Here is a 21,774-nt window from a genome sequence, read left to right on the forward strand (position 1 = left end):
CTGGTGTGTGTGGTGGGGTTGGGAGGGGCAGTCTTGGGGACTGAGCCCCTTACCTGTGGGATATGACCCTCTCTCCGGGTAGACAGTGTAAGAACTGAATTAAAGACACAGCCGGTGTCCACTGCTTGATGTATGGGGAAAAAACTCCACACATTCGGTCACAGAAGTCTTCATCTGAGTTGATGATTGTTGTTGACGTGGTGTGAGAAGAGACAGAAAACCCAGTTTGGGAGTTTCCCTTAATAGCGAGGACACAAACATTCAAATCATAGCCCCATCTGAGAATGCTCATGTAAATACAAATTTGATGAATCAGTGGAAGCCTCCTGGTACTTTTTGGGGTCTGGGACTTGTCAGAAGCATAGGGTCTGGTGTTTGAGCTAAACATCAGAGGGCTGGATTTAATTGTTTTAAGGCCCTGGCCCAAGGAATCAAGTCAAAATAATATGTTCAGATTCAAGACTGGTTGATTTGATTTCTAAAAACAAGGTAATATGCATGTGGATGTTTCCAAATCACATAAGCTATCTGTGCAGTCAGGCATTTGGATTCTTGATGTTCTAAGGAATAATAATAATAGCTGCTATTATATTTATCACTTACCCCCTGTAACCATGTCCCAAATCTTTCATCCCATTTGATCCTCACAAGCATTCTGCAAGATCTTGGTATTACATCCTTTTTACAAATGACAAAACAGCTGGGCACGGTGGCTGATGCCTGTAATCCCAGCACTTTGGGAGGTGGAGGCGGGCAGATCACGAGGTCAGGAGATCGAGACAATCGTGACTAAGACGGTGAAACCCCGACTCTACTAAAAATACAAAAAATTAGCCGGGCGTGGTGGCGGGCGCCTGTAGTCCCAGCTACTCGGGAGGCTGAGGCAGGAGAATGGCGTGAACCTGGGAGGCGGAGCTTGCAGTGAGCCGAGATCGTGCCACTGCACTCCAGCCTGGGCAACAATGCGAGACTCCATCTCAGAAAAAAAAAGAAAACACACACACACACACACACACCAATGACAAAACATTCAGAAAGGGTAGATATTTGTACAAGTCAAATGACTGATCTGTGTGCCTGGTGTTGGCACTCAGATCAGTCGTATTCCAGAGCGTGTGCTCTCAACAAAGTCAATGGTTATCAAGGTTTGAATGATCCCAGGTCTTCAGGAAAGAGAACGCAGTTACCTGTTGTGTAAGAGTACAATGGTGAGCTGGTGGGTTCTCTCCTTATTGCTCCCTGCAGTGTCGTAGGGTGGGTTTCTGCTGGCTGAGGTGAAGATGGTGAAGTGGCTACTGGAATGAAAAGAATGGAAGAATTGTTCCATTTGTGGAGGAAAATGTGCACCCCAAGAAAAATAAAGAACAAAACTAGAATCAGGAATTACCATCACCTTTCCATGGGCCCTTCTCCTGGCCTTCCACAGTGGGCATGCAGGGCTTCTACCGACCCACTTCTGAACCTTTCGGCTCCTCTTAGAAATGTATTCAAAGATGGCCTTCAGGCATTGCCCTGCTATCTAATTATCTCATTAACATGAGGAAATGCGATCTAGATAATGTTCCACATAGTCAATATATACGATTATCTCAAACTTTCTATACTCCCAGGTTCCCTCTAAATAGACAAAGCCAACAACAGGGCATTTTATGTAGAATACCCAATTAAGCTTTATTTTATTCATACAAGTGATATTTCACTTTCAGAAAATGGGGGCTTAGGAATTTGCACTAACATGCCCTACCCCCTTCACAACAGCCCCATTCTGGGTTTCCTGGCCTTACTCAAGTTCAATTATCCACACATCTAATAACTAACAGAGAATAGATACAATATTAATTCCTTGAGGTCTCTTAAAGCTGACAATATTGCCCAATGTCAGCCTTGGTAATGATTTACAACCCTAAAGGTAAGGTTCCTGGCAGGACCTGACCCCAGCTCCTTCTGCATCTGCATTCTAGTCATTCCTTTAGGGGTGATTTCCTGTGTTTTCTGACTCATCTTACACTTCTCACGGTAAAGCTTCCATTAGGAATTCTCCAGCATAGGGCTACATTCCCCTTTCCTTTCCTGAAATCCCTCCTTTATTTCCTATCAGATATCTCACCTTATTTGCAAAGTTGATCACTTGCCTCTTCACAAAGCATTTACATGATTCCCTTCTCTTAGAGCACCACAGAAATTTAGAGTCAATTAGTGACGGTGACTGGATGAATTCCCAAACCTGGCTTTCCTTATTGCCTCTCACTGGTCTGTTTCTCTTTCTCCACCACAGTCTCAATAACTTCACTTTTCAACATCGCTCTTTCTCCTGTTCTCAACTTTTTCCTGTTTTCCTCTAGTGCTCAAACCTGTAAGAGGATGTGGCTCTCTTTCGGAACGAAAAACAGAACAACACAGGAGAGTCACGTGGGCAGTCTGTACCCAATTGAGTTCTGTGCAAAAGATCTCTTGAGCTTAACTTCTTTCCTAAGTTTGGGTCCTTATGGCATCTTTCTTTTCTCCACTGCTCCTACAACCATACATACAATTGTTCCCTGGAGTTTTAGGCAGCAAGCAGGTACTAGGGGCACTGAGCAGGGAAGATTGGATGCAAAGATAAATGTCCCTGCGTTCTATTTGCTCCAGGGTTCTCTCATTCCTGGACTGTAATGTTCAACTCATGCAAACTCTTTAGAGAACTATCCAGATAAGAATAACCTCAAGTGATACCATCCTCCAAGTTATAGCCATATAAACCAACTCTTAGGAGAAAGGCAACTTTCTCCCATATCTCGGCTTTAAATGAAATCAGTGACTTGGGGATGTTCTCCAAAACCAGTCCACTAATCCATCCACCTTAGCAGACACAAGCTAAGTATTAGAAAGTGAAATCAACATTGAGAAAGTCTAACAGACTCTCTAGTGTGTGCGGCTGCCTGGAACAAAACTGTTTTTCTTACAAAACTTTTATGGCTCTAAAATCCCAGGTATGACCTAATTAACACCCTCTATTTCAAACTGAGCTACTAGCCCAACCCTTCAGATCTCTCCTGGTTAAACACACAATTCAATGGCAGTCAAGGGAAATCAATATGTTCCATCAGATTTTTCCAGCTAAGAGGCTGCGACATTTGTTACTCCTCAGAATCCAGAGCCACCCTAAGGGGTCAATGGATTTCTGAGGGCTTTGAGAATCTCCACTAAAAGTTATCTTTTAAATCCCGAAAATGGAAGATTTGAACCTATACTTGTCCTCAGAATGACAAGCTATTTCCCTACCTATAAGTCAAGTTATCCTCTATTTGTATTAAATCTAATGTCTTATTTACAGGGAATTTGAAGTATCAACTATATGGCCTGAACTGAAAAAAATAAACTGTACATTCTAAATCCCTAAAGCCCTTAAATCCAATGTTACTTTTTCCTAAGTATAAATCACACCTTTTGCAATTTCCACTGTACATAAATAAATTAAAGGACCTTTGAAGTAAAAATGTGTAAGTCATTGACTACCCTGAAAAGACAGTGTGGTTGTTTAAGGGTTTTTTTCAGTAAAAATGTTAGATCAGGGCAAACTCATCCAAACATAAAACTCAGTGCTGATAATAGGAGGCATGATCCAGTAGTTAAAAGTACTGGCCCTATTTCAAGCTAACAGAGATCAAAACGTGACTCGACCACTTTCTATCTGTGTAAATTTCTTTTTTCTTTCTCTTTTCTTTCTTTTTCACTCTGTTACCCAGGCTAGAGTGCAGTGGTGCAATCATGGCTCACTGTAGACTTGACCTCCCGGCCCCAAGCGATTCCTCCACCTCAGCCTCCCAAGTGGCTGGGACTAGAGGCATGCACCACCATGTAGAGACAAGGTCTCTCACTATGTTGCCCAGGCTGGTTTTGAACTCCTCGGCTAAAATTACAGTCATGAGCCACCGCACCTGGCTTCTATCTGTGTAACTTTCAACAATGAACTTTTAGACTCTGTCTCAGTTCTAACAATTATAAACCACACCTACAGTGGATATAATTATCCTAAGAATTAAATGCATGAGGCATGGTGCCTGGTAGATAGAAAACAGTAAATGTTAACTTCTCTGAAATCAAGGTCTGCTTTCAGAATGGACTAAATGATCTCTCTTCAGAGCTCTTCGTGAGGACACTATCTCATTTATCTGACCTTGGTTCTCTGGCATTCCCTGTGTTTTCATCATAAAGCCATACCTAGCTGAGTCAGATCCACAGTATCCCTGTTAGATGTTCTACATCCGTGGTCCAGCTATTTTTGGTTAATAATCAATTTCTTTGAGAATTGACAAAAAGCAATGGGTCCCCTCACTCCAAAAATGCTCATTGGTGCAAAAGACGCATACAACTTGGGAGTTGGGGAGGATCACAAACCCTGAGGAGACCCTGATTGAAACCCAGGTAAGACCCCTCACTCTAGACTGTCCTTCTACCTTGATACAATGCCCTGGATGGTCCGCAGCTCCTCATTAGAAGGCCTTTGGGCTTCCAAACACATCTGTTTTACCTGGTTCATGGTTCTGCCTGGGCAAAGGCATTGGAGGAACAAAGGTAGAGACAGTTGTTGTCACTGGAACACTTGTTGTTGTTGGAATGCTCGTTGTCGTTGGAACGCTCGTTGTCGTTGAAACAGTCATTGTCGTCAGAACAGTCGTTGTCGTTGGAATGCTCATTGTTGTTGGAACAGTTGTCGTTGGAACAGTCGTCATTGGAACAGTCGTTGTCGTTGGAACAGTGGTGCTCGTTCGAACAGTCGTGACGGTTGGAACAGTTGTGACAATTGGAGTAGTCGTGACCTTGGCTGGAGTCAGAAATCAACATGAGAGTGAGCATAAGTCAAACAAGAAACAAGAGCCTCAGGCTGGAACTGTACCCTAGCACACCAATGACAGACTGTCCCTAGGTGGAGTTAACTTCCTGAACTGTCAATCTTGGTCATTGCCCAGCTAGAAACTGTGACAGGAGAGGGCCTTGGAGACATACCCCTCCTTCCAAAAGAAAAGCAGATGTATTGAAAGGTGCATGCATATTCAGCAAATAAGAACAGACGCCTCATATTTGCACTGAAGCACTTTTTTGGGGGCAGGGTCTCACTCTGTCATCCAGGCCGGACTGCAGTGGCATGATCAACTCACTGCTGCCTCGAACTCCCAGGCTGAAGCAATCCTCCTGTGTCAGCTTCCCAAGTAGCTGGGACTACATGCAGGCATCACCACACCCGGCTAATTTTTAAAAAAACTTTTTTTGTAGAGACTGGGCGTGGTGGCTCACGCCTGTAATCCCAGCACTTTATGGGGCCAAGGTGGGTGGACTACTTCAGCTCAGGAGTTCAGAGTTCCAGACCAGCCTGGGCAACAGGTGAAACCCCATCTCTACAAAAAATAGTCAAGTGTGATGACACATGCCTGAAATCTCAGCTACTTGAAAGGCTGAGGCATAAGGATTGATGAACCCCAGAGGTGGAGGTTGCAGTGAGTAGAGACTGGGCCACTGCACTCCAGCCTGAGAAACAGAGCGAGACCCTGTCTTAAAAAAAAAAAAGAAAAAAAGAATTGACCTCATCTTGCTCACCCTTATAAGGGAAACAATCCAAGTCCAAAAGCTAAGAGACTGCAAATTAAAATTCCTCTTAATTAAAACGAAAATAGAGACATAGCTTATTAAGGTCGTAGGTATTGGGTTCTATTATCATTGTAAGACCTTAGTGGAAGAAGATTCATTAAGAAACAGCAACGGCCGGGCGCGGCAGCTCACGCCTGTAATCCCAGCACTTTGGGAGGCCGAGGCGGGTAGACTGCCTGAGGTCAGGAGTTTGAGACCAGCTTGGCCAACATGATGAAACCCCATCTTTACTAAAAATACAAAAATTAGCCAGGCATGGTGGTGCGCACCTGTAGTCCCAGCTACTCAGGAGGCCGAGGCAGGAGAATTGCTTGAACCCAGGAGGCAGAGGTTGCAGTGAGCTGAGATCGCATCACTGCACCCCAGCCTGGGCGACAGAGAAAGACTCTGTCTCAAAAAAACAAAACAAAAAGTCAGCAGCAAGGCTGGGTGCTGTGGCTCATGTCTGTAGGCCCAGCCCTTTGGGAGGCCGAGGCAAGTGGATCACTTGAGCCCAGAAGTTTGAGACCAGCCTGGGCAACATAGCGAAACCATATCTCTACAAAAAAAATTTTAAAAATTAGCCGGGCATGGTGATGCACTCCTGTAGTCCCAGCTACTCAGGAGGTTGAGGCAGGACAATCACTTGAACCCAGGAGGCAGGGGTTGCAGTGAGTAGCAATCACACCACCGCACTCCAGCCTGCTACCTGGGCAACCGAGTGAGACTCCATCTCAAAAAAAAAAAAAAAAAAAAAAACAAAGGCCCTGCATGGTGGCTTACACCTGTAATCCCAGCACTTTGGGAGACTGAGGCAGGCAGAACATCTGAGGTCAGGAGTTCAAGACCAGCCTGGCCAACATGGTGAAACCCCATCTCTACTAACACAAAATACAAAAACTAGCTGGGTATGGTGGTGCCTGCCTATAGTTCCAGCTACTTGGGAGGCTGAGGCAGGAGAATTGCTTGAACCTGGGAGGCAGAGGGTTGCAGTGAGCCACGATTGTGACATTGCACTTCAGCCTGGGCAACAGCGAGACTCTGTCTCAAAAAAAGTAAATAAAAAAATAAAAAAGGACAGTTCCTCAAGGTGAATAAATTCAGCTTGATAAAAATATTCACTGTATTTTACTATGGAACAGTAAATGCTATTTCTTGGGCCAACTACTATGTTTGAAGTATATTTGGACCTCCATATTTGTGGGTTCTATATCTGTAGATATAACCAAGACTTTGGATGGAAAATGTATGGTGGAAAAAGAAGGATATGTTGTCTGCTGTACTGAACAAATACAGACTTTTTTGTTTGTCATTATTCCCTAAATATTTCAGTAAAACAACCAATTGCATAGTATTTACATTGTATTCGGTGTTATAAGTAATCTAGAGATGATTTAAAGCATATGGGACTATGTGCATAGTTTACATGCAAATACTACACCATTTTATATAGGGACTTGAGCATCTGCAGATTTTGGTATCAAGGGGGTCCTGGAAACAATTTCCCATAGATATCAAGGAACAATTGTACTGCTGTAGGAGCTAGTTTGCTGATTCTAGCCTGACCTTGAATTATGCTTGGCCTTGTAACTTCATCTACACAAAAGTTATTCTATTTCCCAAGAACAAGAGTTTATTTAAAAACAGGACTTACGGGAACCTCCTCTTTCCCTATTAAGAAAAAAGAAAATTACTACCGAACAGAAAATTCAATTAACTAGCAAGAAATATCAAAGAAAAACTTACGTGGCACAATCTCCAATGATACGGTGATTTTCATGTCATTGAACCACCCACGGTGCTCAACACGGCAACAATATACGCCACTGTCAGACACAGCTGTATTTTCTATGGTCAAAGAGACATCCCTTCTTGAAAGGTCCCCCAATAGCTTATAGCGTGTGTCCTTCCGATAGGTGACGTGGGTTCCATTGGTCCAGACAATGCCATTTTGGCATGTGAATAGAGAACATGAGCCTCTATTCCAGCACATGGATGTGACAGCTCCACTGTAGTGGCAGGGTAGTGTGACAGATGGACCTGCCTCTCCACCAACCTTTACAGAACCAGCTACAGAATCTGCAAAGAAGAAAAGACAAACTGAGAATGAGCCCTCACTATTTCATCTTGGCTGGGCACAATGGCTCACGCCTGTAATCCAAGAACTTTGGGAGACCAAGGCAGGCAGATCAACCCAGGTCAGGAGTTCAAGACCAGCCTAGCCAACATGGCAAAACCCGATCTCTACTAAAAAAAAAATTACAAAAATTAGCGGGGTGTAGTGGTGTAATCCCAGCTACTCAGGAGGCTAAGGCAGGGAGAAGTGCTTGAACCTGGGAGGCGGAGGTTGCAGCAAGCTGAGCTCGTGCCACTACACTCCAGCCTGGGTGACAGAGCAGACTCTGTCTCCCCCTCCCCCAAAAAAAAATTCTCTTAATTTTTTTTACTTGTTTTACTTTCTTTAAAAAAATATTTTATTCATTTTTTAATTGTTTATTTTTTATTTTTTTAAGACAGAGTCTTGCTCTGTCACCCAGGCTGTAGTGCAGTGGCGCAAAGATCTTGGCTCACTGCTACCCCCGCCTCCTGGGTTCAAGCAATTCTCATGCATCAGCCTCCCAAGTAGCTGGGATTACAGGCACATGCCACCACGCCCGGCTAATTTTTGTATTTTTAGTAGAGACAGGCTAGTCTTGAACTCCTGACCTCAAGTGATCCACCCACCTGAGCATCCCAAAGTGCTGGGATTACAGGCATGAGCCACCATGCCCAGCCTTGTAAATAGACATTATAGCTGGAAGGTTTTTCCCCTTTTTCCAAGTTAGCTGATATAGCTGGAATTTTTAAAATTTGAGATTATAAGCATTTTTCTATGCTAGCATTCTTTTAATTTTTTTTTTTAGACAAAGTCTTTCTAAAAAGAATTTCTTCTTTTTTTTTTTTGAGACAGAGTCTTGCTCTGTCGCCCAGGCTGGAGTGCAGTGGTGTGATCTCGGCTCACTGCAAGCTCCGCCTCCCAGGTTCACGCCATTCTCCCGCCTCAGCCTCCCCAGCAGCTGAGACTACAGGCACACGCCGCCACGCCCGGCTAATTTTTTTGTATTTTTAGTAGAGACGGGGTTTCACCATGTTAGCCAGGATGGTCTCGATTTCCTGACCTCGTGATCTGCCCGCCTTGGCCTCCCAAAGTGCTGGGATTACAGGTGTGAGCCACCACGCCCGGCCACCAAGAAATTCTTGTTTAATTTTGCCTAATACTAGTATCATTTTTTTGGATTACACATATAATGCATGCTATTACAATTTGGTTATAGAAGTATATAATGAGAGATTATTTTTCCCCCATAATCCCAAAGGCATATATCACTCCAGAAATTTGTGTTTAAAAATTAGGATATGTCTATTTTACTCTTTCCTTATCTCATAGAATGTTTTGAATTAAAGTGTTTATTTCAAAATAAAATACTTAGGCCAGATGTGGTGGCTAACGCCTATAATCCCAGCACTTTGGGAGACTGAGGTGGGAGAATCACTTGAGCCCAGGAGGTCGAGGTTGCAGTGAATCAAGATTGCCCAACTAGGCCAGGCGCGGTGACTCACGCCTATAATTCCAGCACTTTGGGAGGCCGAGGCAGGTGGATCACAAGGTCAGGAGTTCAAGATCAGCTTGGCCAAGATGGGGAAACCTTGTCTCTACTAAAAATACAAAAAAATTAGCTGGTAGTGGTGGCAGGTACCTGTAATCCCAGCTACTTGGGAGACTGAGGCAGAGAATTGCTTGAACCCAGGAGGCGGAGGCTGCAGTGAGCCGAGATCACGCCACTGAACTCTAGCCTGGGCGACAGAGTGAGACTCTGTCTCAAAAAAAAAAAGATTGCCCTACTGCACTCCAGAGTGAGACCTCATGAAGAGAGAGAGAGAGAGAGAGAGAGGAAAGAAAGAAAGAAAGAAAGAAAGAAAGAAAGAAAGAAAGAAAGAAAGAAAGAAAGAAAGAAAGAAAGAAAGAAAGAGAATTGAATGTGGCTGAAAAAAATCGGAAGGCACAAAAAAATACAATAAGGATTAACTCTCCCTCCACCTCCCACCCTCTGCCCCCATCCCACATTACCCACTGTCACTATTTCCTATATACATGTGTCTATGCATATACATCTAACCACACCCTTTTTGTTTAAACACAAAGGGCAGCCTGTGACACACTGTGCTGCATCTTGCCTTGTTCATTTAGCCATGAATGTTGTAATTCACAGCAGTTAAGCAATTTCTTTGGCCTAAAACTTTATTCTGGTCCTGCTCACTAGTTAACTCATAGCCATACAACGGTACCCAAAGAACATCTACATTAATCCACCACCACCATCCCCTCCCCTTCCCCTACCCCATTCTCTGGCTTCTAACCCCCCTCTACTCCCTTCTTCCCGCCCAGGGCACCTACTCACTTACCTGCCAGATGTAGGATGAGGCTTAAGATGACCACTTGAGGATGCATTATGGGATCAGCCTGAAGGAAAATGAGCAGACAGGCTGGTTGGTACCCTCCACCAGATGGTATCTGATCAAGTCTTAAATCTCAGATTGCAACTTATCTTTTCACCCAGTTGGTTGATTCATATGAGCCTGCTCTGCTGGAAATGAGAGAAGACCACATATAACGGCTTCAGAGCTCTGTTAGTTCCCTGCAGCTGAGAGCTCTGTGCCTTCCAAAGGACAGGGAAAGCTGTCCACAGAAACAGCCCCTGACTTCCCAGCTTCTTCCCCACACATAACCGCCAAACTGACTCCTGGTCCTGATACAGGGTATCAGGGGAACAAACAAAAAGGAAACAGGGCCGGGCGCGGTGGCTCAAACCTGTAATCCTAGCACTTTGGGAGGCCAAGGCGGGCAGATCACGAAGTCAGGAGATCGAGACCATCCTGGCTAAAAGGGTGAAACCCCGTCTCTACTAAAAATACAAAAAATTAGCCGGGCGTGGTCACTGGCGCCTGTAGTCCCAGCTACTCGGGAGGCTGAGGCAGGAGAATGGCGTGAACCCGCGGGAGGCGGAGCTTGCGGTGAGCCGAGATCGCGCCACTGCACTCCAGCCTGGGCGACAGAGCAAGACTCCGTCTCAAAAAACAAAACAAAAAAAAAGAAAAGAAAAGGAAACTGGAAGCAGAGAACCAGCGTGGCTCAATGGCAGCACGAGAGCAAATGCCAGCCTTCCAGTGGCAGAGATGCACTTGCTTTTCAGAGTAAACTGGGCCTCTGGTGGACGTGGAGCTTTTCCTACTCAGTGGCCACAACGACTTATCCCTAGCCTTAACAGTCATATTGCCAAGTTTGCCATTAGCAAGAGAAATTGAGAGTGAATGTGAATCACTGTGCCTAACCTTTCATGCTCCTGTACAACATGCTTCAGACTACACCTCCTTACCAAGGGACTTCAAGAGAATGCTTCAGGAAACAGAAGTCTGGAGCAGACTTACGTTCAGATCCAGGCTCTGTCACTCACAATGCTGGGTAACCCTGAGAGTTCCTGAGTTCTCTTCAAACCTCTATTTCCTCAGTTGTAAAATAGCACTAAAAATGCTTCCTCTATCTCCCACCAAGGATTGATATAATAAGCAAAAAGGGCCACGGAAGAACTTGGAAAACTAAACCTACATCATATGCAGTAATAGCACTAGCTGAGGTTTTTGGAGAATACTATATAGCAGGCTCTGTGTCAAGCACCCACATGCGTTAAATCGGGCTGTTGACTTCTGCTGTTAATCATTAAACCATACAAACATGAGTAAGCTTGCCTAGTACTTCATTAACTCCTCTTCTGGTCTAAGAATTCAGTAACTTCCAAGGAGGCAGTGGTGGTCTGTATCTTGCAGCTCATGACAGGGTTCATGGGGAAGTGGATGATCTCAGCATAGTGTTTTGTATGGCAGCGTTTAAAAATTCATTTCTTGACCGGGCATGGTGGCTCGTGCCTGTAACCCCAGCACTTTGGGAGGCCGAGTAGGCCAGTCACCTGAGGTCGGGAGTTCAAGACCAGCCTGGCTAACACGGTGAAACCCCGACTCTACTAAAAATACAAAAATTAGCTGGGGGTGGTGGCGGGCGCCTGTAATCCCAGCTACTTAGGAGGCTGAGGTAGAAGAATTGCTTGAACCTGGAAGGTGGAGGTTGCAGTGAGCCGAGATCAAGCCATTGCACTCTAGCCTGGACAACAAGAACAAAACTCCATCTCAAAAATAAAAATAAAAATTCATTTCTTGCCAGGCACAGTGGCTCACGCCTGTAATCCCAACACTTTGGGAGGCCAAGGCAAGTGGATCACCTGAGGTAAGGAGTTTGAGACCAACCTGGGCAACATAGCAAGACTCCCTCTCTGCAAAAAAAACGAACAAAAAATATAGTCAGGCCTTGTGTACCTGACCGTAGTCCCAGCTACTCAGGAGGCTGAGGCAGGAGGGTTGCTTGAGCCCAGCAGTTGGAGGCTATGATTGTGCCACTGCACACCAGCCGGGGTGACAGAGCAAGACCCTGTTTCTTAAGGAAAAAAAGATTGAAAAAAAAAAGCTAATTCAATTCAACCAGTTATTACTAACATATTGAGCTGATGGGACATGACTCAATATACTAGGGACGTCAAAAATCCAGACTTGTGCAATCGGGCAGGGACATGGGTAAGTAAGCAACTAATGAAATCAGGATAAGTGAGGTAAAGGTAAATATATAATCAGACTACATCATTCCCCCACTTATAACCCTCTCATAACTCTCTCAGAAAAATAATAATAATAATAATAATAATAATTCCTAAATCTTTACTCAAATTACTGAAGCCCTGGTGGTCTGGCCCTGACCTACCCCATAGATTTCTTCTACCACTCTCTCCCCTGCTGACTCAGCCCCAGCTACTAGAGCTTTCTTTCCAACTTGCCTCAACCCTAAGGCCTTTTCCGTGGCTGTGTTCTCCATCTAGCTCCCCAGCCCCACCATTTTCACTTTTTTCCTTTTCATTTTTATCCCGGCTTAAATATGACCTCCCTGGACATTTTTCACAGGTCCTTCAATCTAAAGTAGCCAACCAGTCCCTCTCACTATTATTATCTTGTTTTCCTTAATCCATTTTATCTGTGTGTGCAATATATGTGGTGTCTGTCTCTATTCCCTCCTATAGAGTGCTGCCCGGTAGAATTTTAGTAATGGAGTTATTCTGGTAACGGAGTTATTCTGGAACTGATGAGCCACAGAGAGCCAAGACAGGGATGTGGAGCCAGTGCTCTGAGATGTTACATAACTGTACAATTCCATAGGATTTGAATTTGAATTCCATAGGATCGATTCTGTCTCCAGTAGAATATTGGTTACAGAGTTATTCTGTGTGAGTGTCGTGCACTACAGCAGCCACTAGCCACATATGACTATTGAGCACTTGAAATGTGGCTAAGGCAACCAAGGCATTTTTAATTTTTTTTTTTTCCAAGACAGAGCCTGACTCTGTCACCCAGGCTGGAGTGCAGTGTCACAATCTCAGCTCAGTGCAACCTCCATCTCCTGGGTTTAAGTGATTCTCTTGCCACAGTCTCCTGAGTAGCTGGGACTACAGACACGCGCCACCATGCCTGGCTAATTTTTGTATTTTTAGCAGAGGTGGAGTTTCACCATGTTGGCCAGGCTGGGCTGGAACTCCTGGCCTCAAGTGATACGCTCATCTCAACTTCCAAAAGTGCTGGAATTACAGGTGTGAGCCGCCATGCCTGGCCTAAAAATTTTTATTTAATTTCATTTTAATTAAAATTTCAGATTGCTTGAGCCCAGGAGACAGTCTTCGGGGAGTTGAGATGGCACCACTGCACTCAAGCCTTAGATGACAGAGCTTTCAAAAAAATAAATTAATTAAAAACAAAAAAATAAAATTTAAATTGTCACACATAGTGACTGTGTTGTGTGGCACCCAACTCCAGACCATAAACTCCTTTAAGGCAATTTAAGTGTTGAAGCCAGGCATGGTTGCTCACACCTGTAATCCAAAGGAGGCCGAGGTGGGAGGATCACTTGAGGTCAGGGGTTCCAAACCAGCCTGGCCAACATGGTGAAACCCAACTCTACCAAAAATGCAAAAATTAGCCAGGCGTGGTGGCGGGTGCCTGTAATCCCAGCTACTCAGGAGGCTGAGGCAAGAGAATCGCCTGAACCCGGGAGGCAGAATTTACCCTGAGCGGAGATCATGCCACTGCACTCTGGCCTGGGCCACAGAGTGAGACTTCTCAAAAAAAAAAAAGTTATTAATTGAATAGATAAACAAATGGAAACACAAACCCATAGGGAAAGACCATTCATTTTGATGACGGAATGTGGGGGGTGGGAAGAATTTCTTAAAAAGTGACATGTGAGAAGAATGGGTGGAGGGTGTTTCAACTGGAGGAAATGATGAGCCAGAGAGAGCCAGGACAGGGATGTGGAGCCAAGGCTCTGAGATGTTACATAACTGTACAATTCCATAGGGTTGAATTTTCTGACACAGGACCATCTCCCATGAGAGACGCCTGTGTTCTAAAGACTCCCAAACAATATAGCACAGTGGATTTTTTTAATGAGCTATACAACCTCCAGGGATCACTACTCTTTAGGGCAAACTTCATGACCCCCCTGAAGGATGCATCCCAGTTGTAGGGTAAAGCTGGAAGTGACAATACTTGGGCACCAAAGCTGAATTTCCAGCTGCTCACTAGGGAGCTGCATCTGTATAAACCAAGATTAACGGCAGTGAATTGAAATGATTCAGAACATGGGCCGGGCACGGTGGTGGGTGCCTGTAATCCCAGCTACTTGGGAGGCTGAGGCAGGAGAATTGCTCGAACCCGGGAGGTGGAGGTTGCAGTGAGCTGAGATCGTGCCACTGCACTCCAGCCTGGACAACAGATTGACACCCTGTCTCAAAAAAAAGAAAGAATTCAGAAAAGAAAATAATTCACTGTTCTTTCTTGCAATCACCACTTACTTCCCTGCTATCTCAGCGCACATCGTACCTCCAGCTCCAGCCTCCTGCAAAACAGTTCAGCTGTTCATATTCCCCATGCTTTCACCACAGCAAGATCTTCTTAGGCCCCCTCCACAACTAGGGACTCACCAACTCCACATCATTGTACCTGTCAGTCTCTCCCTCATCCCCATCACTTTATATTAGGCCTCTATAATCCAGACTTCTGCAATTCCCTCCAAAACTGTCTTCCTACCTTTCAGTTCTCTTCCTGCCCTGCCCACTGCCCTAAGCTAGTTATTTTCCTTCACTTACTCCTCTGATTTCATAACAAGTAATATAATGCTTCTTTTTTTTATATCTTTTACAAAGATATAAAAATTACAGGGTACCACCTATGTTTACCATAGAAAATACATAAAAGCCCAAGTATGGTGGCTCACACCTGTAATCCCAGCACTTTGGGAGGCCAAGGCAGGAGGATCACTTGAGGTTAGGAGTTCAAGACCAGCCTGGCCAATATGGCAAACCCCTGTCTCTACTAAAACTACAAAAATTAGCCAGGCGTGGTGGCGCGTGCCTGTAGTCTCAGATACTAGGGAGGCTGAGGCAAGAGAATCGCTTGAACCTGGGAGGTGGAGGTTGCAGTGAGCTGAGATCACACACCACTGCACTCCAGCCTGGGTGACAGAGCGAGATTCTGTCTCAAAAAAAAAAAGAAAGAAAGAAAGAAAGAAAGAAAATATATAAAAATACCAAAAGTGTACTCATTTAACAATTATTTGTTGATGATCTGCGATATGTTAGAAATGATCCTATTCATCTGGAATGTACCAATGAACCAAAGACCCCTGGCCTCATGTAACTTACATTTTTTTTTTTTTTTTTGAGATGGAGCTTCGCTTTTTTTGCCCAGGCTGGAGGGCAATGGCACGATCTCAGCTCACTGCAAACTCTGCCTCCTGGGTTCAAGCGATTCTCCTACCTCAGCCTCCCAAGAAGCTGGGATTACAGGCATGCATCACCACACCGGCTAATTTTTGTAATTTTAGCAGAGACGGGGTTTCACCATGTTGGTTAGGCTGGTCACGAACTCCTGACCTCAAGTGATCTGCCCGCCTTGGCCTCCCAAAGTGCTGGGATTATAGGCGTGAGCACCACTCCTGGCCTCATGTAACTAACTTTTAACTGAAAAATAAATATACAGATTTTTAAAACATCACTAAAATGTAATTTATCAGCATATTACAAGTTGAGGAATGCTAATGCAAAAAAGGCAAAAGGATACACAAGAGCAGGGTGAAGGTGGTTGGGAGTGGAGGGTTGAGGAGGCACTGAGTTGCAATTTTAAACAAGGTGGTCAGGTTTGAATAGTCTCTATTACTTTCACCAAGAAGGTGATTATTTGAACTAAGACAAAGGACAAGGAAGTTAGCCAAGACAGCAAACGCTTTCCATGGAGACAGACAAGAAGGGCAAAGGCCCTAAGGCAGGAGGGTGCCTGGTGTGTTTACAGGGCAAGAGAGGCCAGCGTGACTGCAACAGAGCGAGGGACAGGGATCACAGAGGAGTGAGGGCAGAGGACAGACACATGGGGCTTAGGAGCCATATTCTGAGGACATAGGCTTTCACCCCACATGAAAAGAAGCACCACTGCAAGGGCATAGGGTGACAGTATCTAACTTCCTTTGAGAAGGACCACTGTGGTTGCTAGATTGAGAAGCAGGAAGACCTGTCAGGAGACTATGGAAAGATTCCAGAAGAGATGGGTTAGCAGTGGAAGTGGTCAATGAACTTTCCTCACTCAACCTAGAGTAGCCAGATGTGATGGCTCACAGCTGTAATCCCTGGACTTTGGGAGGCCAAGGCGGGAGGACTGCTTGAGCCCAGGAGCTCAGGGCAACATAGTGAGACCCTGTCTCTACAAAAAAAAAAAAAAAAGAAAGAAAAAGAAAAATTAGCCAGGCATGCTGGCATGCAACTTGTAGTCCCAGCTACTAAAGAGGCTGAGGCAGGAGAATGGCTTGAGCCAAGGAGGTGGAGAAGGTGGAGCAAACAGGATTTCCTGTAGGATATGAGGAGAAAGGGCCTAAGATGACTCCAAGGATTTCGGCCTGAGCCACGGGAAGAGCTGGAGGTTCCAGCCAATTAAGACAAGGAGAGCTGCAAAGGCTGGGCTCAGTGGCTCACACCTGTAATCCTAACACCTTGGGAGGCCAAGGCAGGTGGATCACCTGAGGTCAGGAGTTCAAGACCAACCTGGCCAACATGGCAAAACCCTGTCTCTACTAAAAATACAAAAATTTAGCCAGGCATGGTCGTGGGTGCCTGTAATCTGAGCTACTCAGGAGGCTGAGCCAGGAGAATTGCTTGAACCCAGGAGGCAGAGGTTGGAGTGAGCCAAGATCGTGACACTGCACTCTAGTCTGGGCAACAGAGCAAGACTCCATCTCAAAAAAAACAAAAAACAAAAAACAAAAACCTGCATGACCACAGGTTTTAGAGGAAATATTCAGGGTTTTAAGTATGTTGAGTTTGACATGTCTTAGACCTGTGTGGAGACTGCTGGAGTTCAGGAGGGAGGTCTGAGCTAAAGATACAGTTACAAGTTACTGGCTTAGAAATGGTATTGGCTGGGTGCGGTGGCTCACGCCTGTAATCCCAGCACTTTGGGAGGCCGAGGTGGGCGGATCACGAGATCGAGACTGTGCTGGGTAACACGATGAAACCCCGTCTCTACTGAAAATACAAAAAATTAGCCAGGCGTGGTGGCAGGTGCCTGTAGTCCCAGCTACTCGGGAGGCTGAGGCAGGAGAATGGTGTGAACCTGGGAGGCGGAGCTTGCAGTGAGCTGAGATCGCGCCACTGCGCGACAGAGCGAGACTCCGCCTCAAAAAAAAAAAAATGGTATTTTAAAGCCAGGAGCCTGAATGAGGTAGGAATTCAAAGGATGAGATTCAAAGGAATGCCTGATGCTAAGGACTAGGTCCTGGGGCCTTCCAGCATCAAAAGATTAAAATGGGGACAAGCATGTTGACTCATGCAGGTAATCCCAACACTTTGGGAGACCGGGGCAGGCTGATAACTTAAGGTCAGGAGTTCCAGGTCAGCCTGGCCAACATGGTGAAACACCATCTCTACATAAGAATAAATTTTAAGGCCGGGTGTGGCGACTCACACCTGCAGTCTTAGCACTTTAGGAGACCAAGGCAGGCTGATCACTTGAGGTCAGGAGTTCCAGGCCAGCCTGGCCAACATGGTGAAACCCCGTCTCTACTAAAAACACAAAAATTGGCCGGGTGTGATGGCGCATGCCTGTAATCCCAGCTACTCAGGAGGCTGAGGCAGGAGAATTGCTTGAACCTGGGAGGCAGAGGTCGCAGTGAGCCGAGATCATGCCACTGCACTCCAGCTTGAGTGACAGAGCAAGACTCCGTCTCAAAAAAAAAAATTAATTAATTTTAAAAAAATTTGTTAAAGCTGAGGTGGAAATTAGCCGGGCGTGGTGGCGGGCGCCTATAGTCCCAGCTACTCAGGAGGCTGAGGCAGGAGAATGGCGTGAACCTGGGAGGCGGAGCTTGCAGTGAGCCGAGATCGCACCACTGCACTCCAGCCTGGGCGAGAGAGCGAGACTCCGTCTTAAAAAAAAAAAAAAAAAAAAATGCTGAGGTGGAAGAGGCACCAATACAGAAATGGAAGCAGCCCAAGGAGGTAAGAGAAAAAGCAAAAAGGTCCTAGAAGCCAAGTGAAGCAAACGCATCAAAGAACAGGCAGCAATCATGAGTCAAATGCTGCAAAGGAAAGGAATAAGATTTGTCATAGACTGAGCAAGCTGGAGATTATCAGTGAGCCCCAGTACTTTATACTGCAGTAAAAAGTTTACAAGAAGGAAAATCAGGAGATAATTGAATACAGGAAACACTTTCAAGGAGTTTGCATGGAGAAAAGCAGTTGGACTTGAGTGCCTATAGTACCAGCCATTTGGGAGGCTAAGCGGGAGGGATCACTTGAGCCCAGGAGTTTGAGGCTGCAGTGAGATATGGTAGTACTACTGCATTCCAGCCTGAGTGACAGAGTGAGTCCCCATCTTCCAAAAAAAAAATAAAAGTTTTGCAAAAATGGAAGGAGAAAATCCTGGGTGTTTTTTTTTTAAGTGATAAAAATAACAGCATGTTTGTATGATCTGGAGACAATCAAGGGGAAGAAAGGGAAAATTTGCTGGGGCAACAAGTAAACAGAGGAGTGTGATCCTTTGTCCAAGTAGAAGGTTCTAATTCACAACCAGGGATAGCCTGTTGGTGCACACGCTAAGTGGGCACATATGTCTGGGGAAACTCCAGGTTGATTGCTTCCTCAGTGAAAAAGGAAACAGTTAAAAGTTAGCAGTAAGGGCCGGGCACGGTGGCTCATGCCTGTAATCCCAGCACTTTGGGAGGCTGAGGCAGGCGGATCACTGGAGGTCGGGAGTTCGAGACCAGCCTGACCAACACAGAGAAACCCTGTCTCTACTAAAAATACAAAATTAGCCGGGCGTGGTGGTACATGCTTGTAATCCCAGCTACTCAGGAGGCTGAGGCATGAGAATCACTTGAACCCGGGAGGCGGAGATTGTGGTTAGCAGTAAGGATGGGGAAGAGGTTTGGGGAATTTGAAGAGAGCTTTAGGAGAGCAAATGAAGTAAGGACAAATGTTCCACCATCTGGCAGCACTCAGGTATCACTGGAAGTAGGAGGTCATGTGGTTGATGCTCTGCAGCTACCTGCAGGTGCAGGCTATGGGGGAGGAAGAGGACTCACATCAGCAGATAACTTCTTAATCTTCCCATGTATTTCTCTAAAATCATTTCCACTTCAAAGGCATTTAATGGCTTGCCAGTGCCTTTAAGGCAAAGTCCAAACTCTAAAAGCTGCCCACCTTCCCAGGCTGGTCACACCCTATCACTCTAAGCTTCACAAAGTTCCAAACAAACCAAATTGCTTATACTCACTAATCTTTGCAAGCTCAATAATTTCTAACACATGAGACTACTACAAACCTTCAAAAATCAGCAGCCCAGCCTGAGCAACAGAGTGAGTCCCCATCTCTACAAAAAATAAAAATAAAAAAATTAGCTGTGCATGGTTGCACAAGTGTGTGGTCCCAACTACCTGGAAGGCTGAGATTGAAGGATCAATTGAGCAGGGGTCAAGGCTGCAAGGAGCTGTGATTGCACCCCTGCATTCCAGCCTGGGCAGCAGAACCAGACCCTTTCTCTCTCTCTCTCTTTTTCTTTATTTTTATTTTTATTTTTTGAGACAAAGTTTCACTTTTGTTGCCCAGGCTGGAGTGCAATGGCTCGATCTCGGCCCACTGCAACCTCCGCCTCCCGGGTTAAAGCGATTCTCCTGTGTCAGCTGGAATTACAGGCATGTGCCACCACACCCAGCTAATTTTTTGTATTTTTAGTAGAGACAGGGTTTCACCATGTTAGCAAGGATGGTCTCCATCTCCCAACCTCAGGTGATCTGCCTGCCTCGGCCTCCCAAAGTGCTGGGATTACAGGCGTGAGCCACCACTCCCGGTGAGCAAGACCCGTTCTCAAAACAAAACAGCCGGATGTATAATCCCAGCACTTTGGGAGGCCGAGGTAGACAGATCACTTGAGGTCAGGAGTTCCAGACCAGCCTGGCCAACATGGTGAAACCCCAACTGTACTAAAAATACAAAAAAATTAGCCAGGCATGGTTGCGGGTGCTTCTAGTCCCAACTACTCAGGAGGCTGAGGCAGGAGAATTGCTTGAACTTGGGAGGTGGAGGTTGCAGTGAGCTGAGATGGAGCCACTGCACCCCAGCCTGGGTGACAGAGCAAGATTCTGTCTCAAAAAGCAAAACAAAAAGTCAGCAGCAAGGCTGGGTGCTGTGGCTTACACCTGTAGGCCCAGCCCTTTGGGAGGCCGATGCAAGTGGATTGCTTGAGCCCAGAAGTTTGAGACCAGCCTGGGCAACATAGCGAAACCGTATCTCTACAAAAAAAATTTTTTTAATTAGCCGGGCATGGTGATGCACTCCTGTAGTCCCAGCTACTCAGGAGGCTGGGGTGGGAGGATCGCTTGGGCCCAGGAGTTCAAGGTTACAGTGAGCTATGATTGAGCCACTGCACTCCAGCCTGTGTAACAAAGCAAGACTCTGTCATAAAAGTCAGCAGCCAGTACTAGGCTTCTGCTTTACTGCACATTATCTTTATATGGGCTTTTTTTTTACATTTTTTTTTTTGAGACAGAGTTTTCTGGCTCACTTCATCCTCCACCTCCCAGGCTCAATCCATCCTCCTGCCTCAGCCTCCCCAGTAACTGAGACTGCAAGCATGTGCCACCACACTCAGCAAATTTTTCTATTATTTTTCAGGCGGATCTCACTATGTCGCCTAGGCTGGTCTCAGATTCCTGGGCTCAAGCAATCCCCCTGCTTCAGACTCCCAGAGCACTGGGATTATAGGCATGAGCCACCACGCCCCCTAATATTTTTACTTTAAAAATTATAAAACTACTAACAGAGCTATGCCCTCAACACATTTCCATATTATTACACAATACCCATCTTACAGATAAGGAGAAGCTCACCAAAAGTATGTATTGCGCCTAAAGTCACAGTTTCAAGCCAGCCTGAATAAATACGGCTTAACACAAATGTACCACACAATTTTCTGCAGTTTTAGTTTTTCCTCCTATTTCTCACACTAAACTTGCCCAGGCAAAGTTTAAATAAGGCCACTATGGCAGTCCATGATTCCATTGAAATAAAAGCCAATTTCTCAGGAAATCCAAAAAACTCTGTTTTATGTAAATTTCCCCTAAATTTCTTGGCTCAATCATTATTGTCCTTATATCTCATATAAAACTACGAAAGTCCAAGCAACTATATCCTGATTTTCTCTTTGTCATAAGTTTCCAGAGGACCGCACTTACCGGTTAGTTAGAAGGCGGTTTTCCAGCTTCTCCTCCCTCCTCCTGGTCTGTTTGTAGCCCTCCTCCAAAGATCTTTATAGATTAAGACTACTTTCTCCCAGAATTCCATTCTTTATCTCTTTGCCACACCTTTACATAAGAATACGGGGAAGCACGTTTGAACATTACATTTCTCCAGTTGGCTGATCTTTTTACTGGATTTGATCCACTTACAAATTTAAACAGATTACAGGGAGATTGTTACAGTACTTGTTCTCTACTGGGCA

General features: G+C 45.3%; 1 protein-coding gene across 14 annotated transcripts in view, besides 1 other annotated feature; it reads right to left on the bottom strand.

The window, feature by feature from the left end:
• Positions 1–21,557, bottom strand: part of HAVCR1 (hepatitis A virus cellular receptor 1) — a 39,995-nt gene extending 18,438 nt beyond the window's left edge. For 2 of the 14 annotated variants that reach the window (XM_024446023.2, XM_047417097.1), the window contains exons 1-5: positions 21,509–21,557; positions 10,048–10,105; positions 7,351–7,683; positions 4,511–4,804; positions 1,188–1,295 (exon numbers count right to left, since the gene is read on the bottom strand). In XM_024446023.2, the coding sequence (XP_024301791.1) occupies positions 1,188–1,295; positions 4,511–4,804; positions 7,351–7,683; positions 10,048–10,093 (781 nt within the window). In that variant the 5' untranslated portion in view covers positions 10,094–10,105; positions 21,509–21,557. Of the gene's footprint in view, positions 1–1,187; positions 1,296–4,510; positions 4,805–5,097; positions 5,139–7,350; positions 7,684–10,047; positions 10,392–11,070; positions 11,267–21,508 lie in introns of those variants that run through there. The other 12 variants (XM_024446022.2, NM_001173393.3, NM_001308156.2 and 9 more) reach the window with 8 other exon arrangements.
• Positions 2,294–2,853: an enhancer, noted in NCBI's record as "H3K27ac hESC enhancer chr5:156477155-156477714 (GRCh37/hg19 assembly coordinates)". NCBI's record gives its function as "activates a minimal SCP1, AML or CMV promoter by ChIP-STARR-seq in naive H9 embryonic stem cells {active_cell/tissue: H9 hESC(naive)}" and the evidence as "EXISTENCE:reporter gene assay evidence [ECO:0000049][PMID:30033119]".

This window comes from Homo sapiens, chromosome 5 (genome assembly GCF_000001405.40).
Source record: "Homo sapiens chromosome 5, GRCh38.p14 Primary Assembly".
Lineage (NCBI taxonomy): Eukaryota > Metazoa > Chordata > Mammalia > Primates > Hominidae > Homo > Homo sapiens.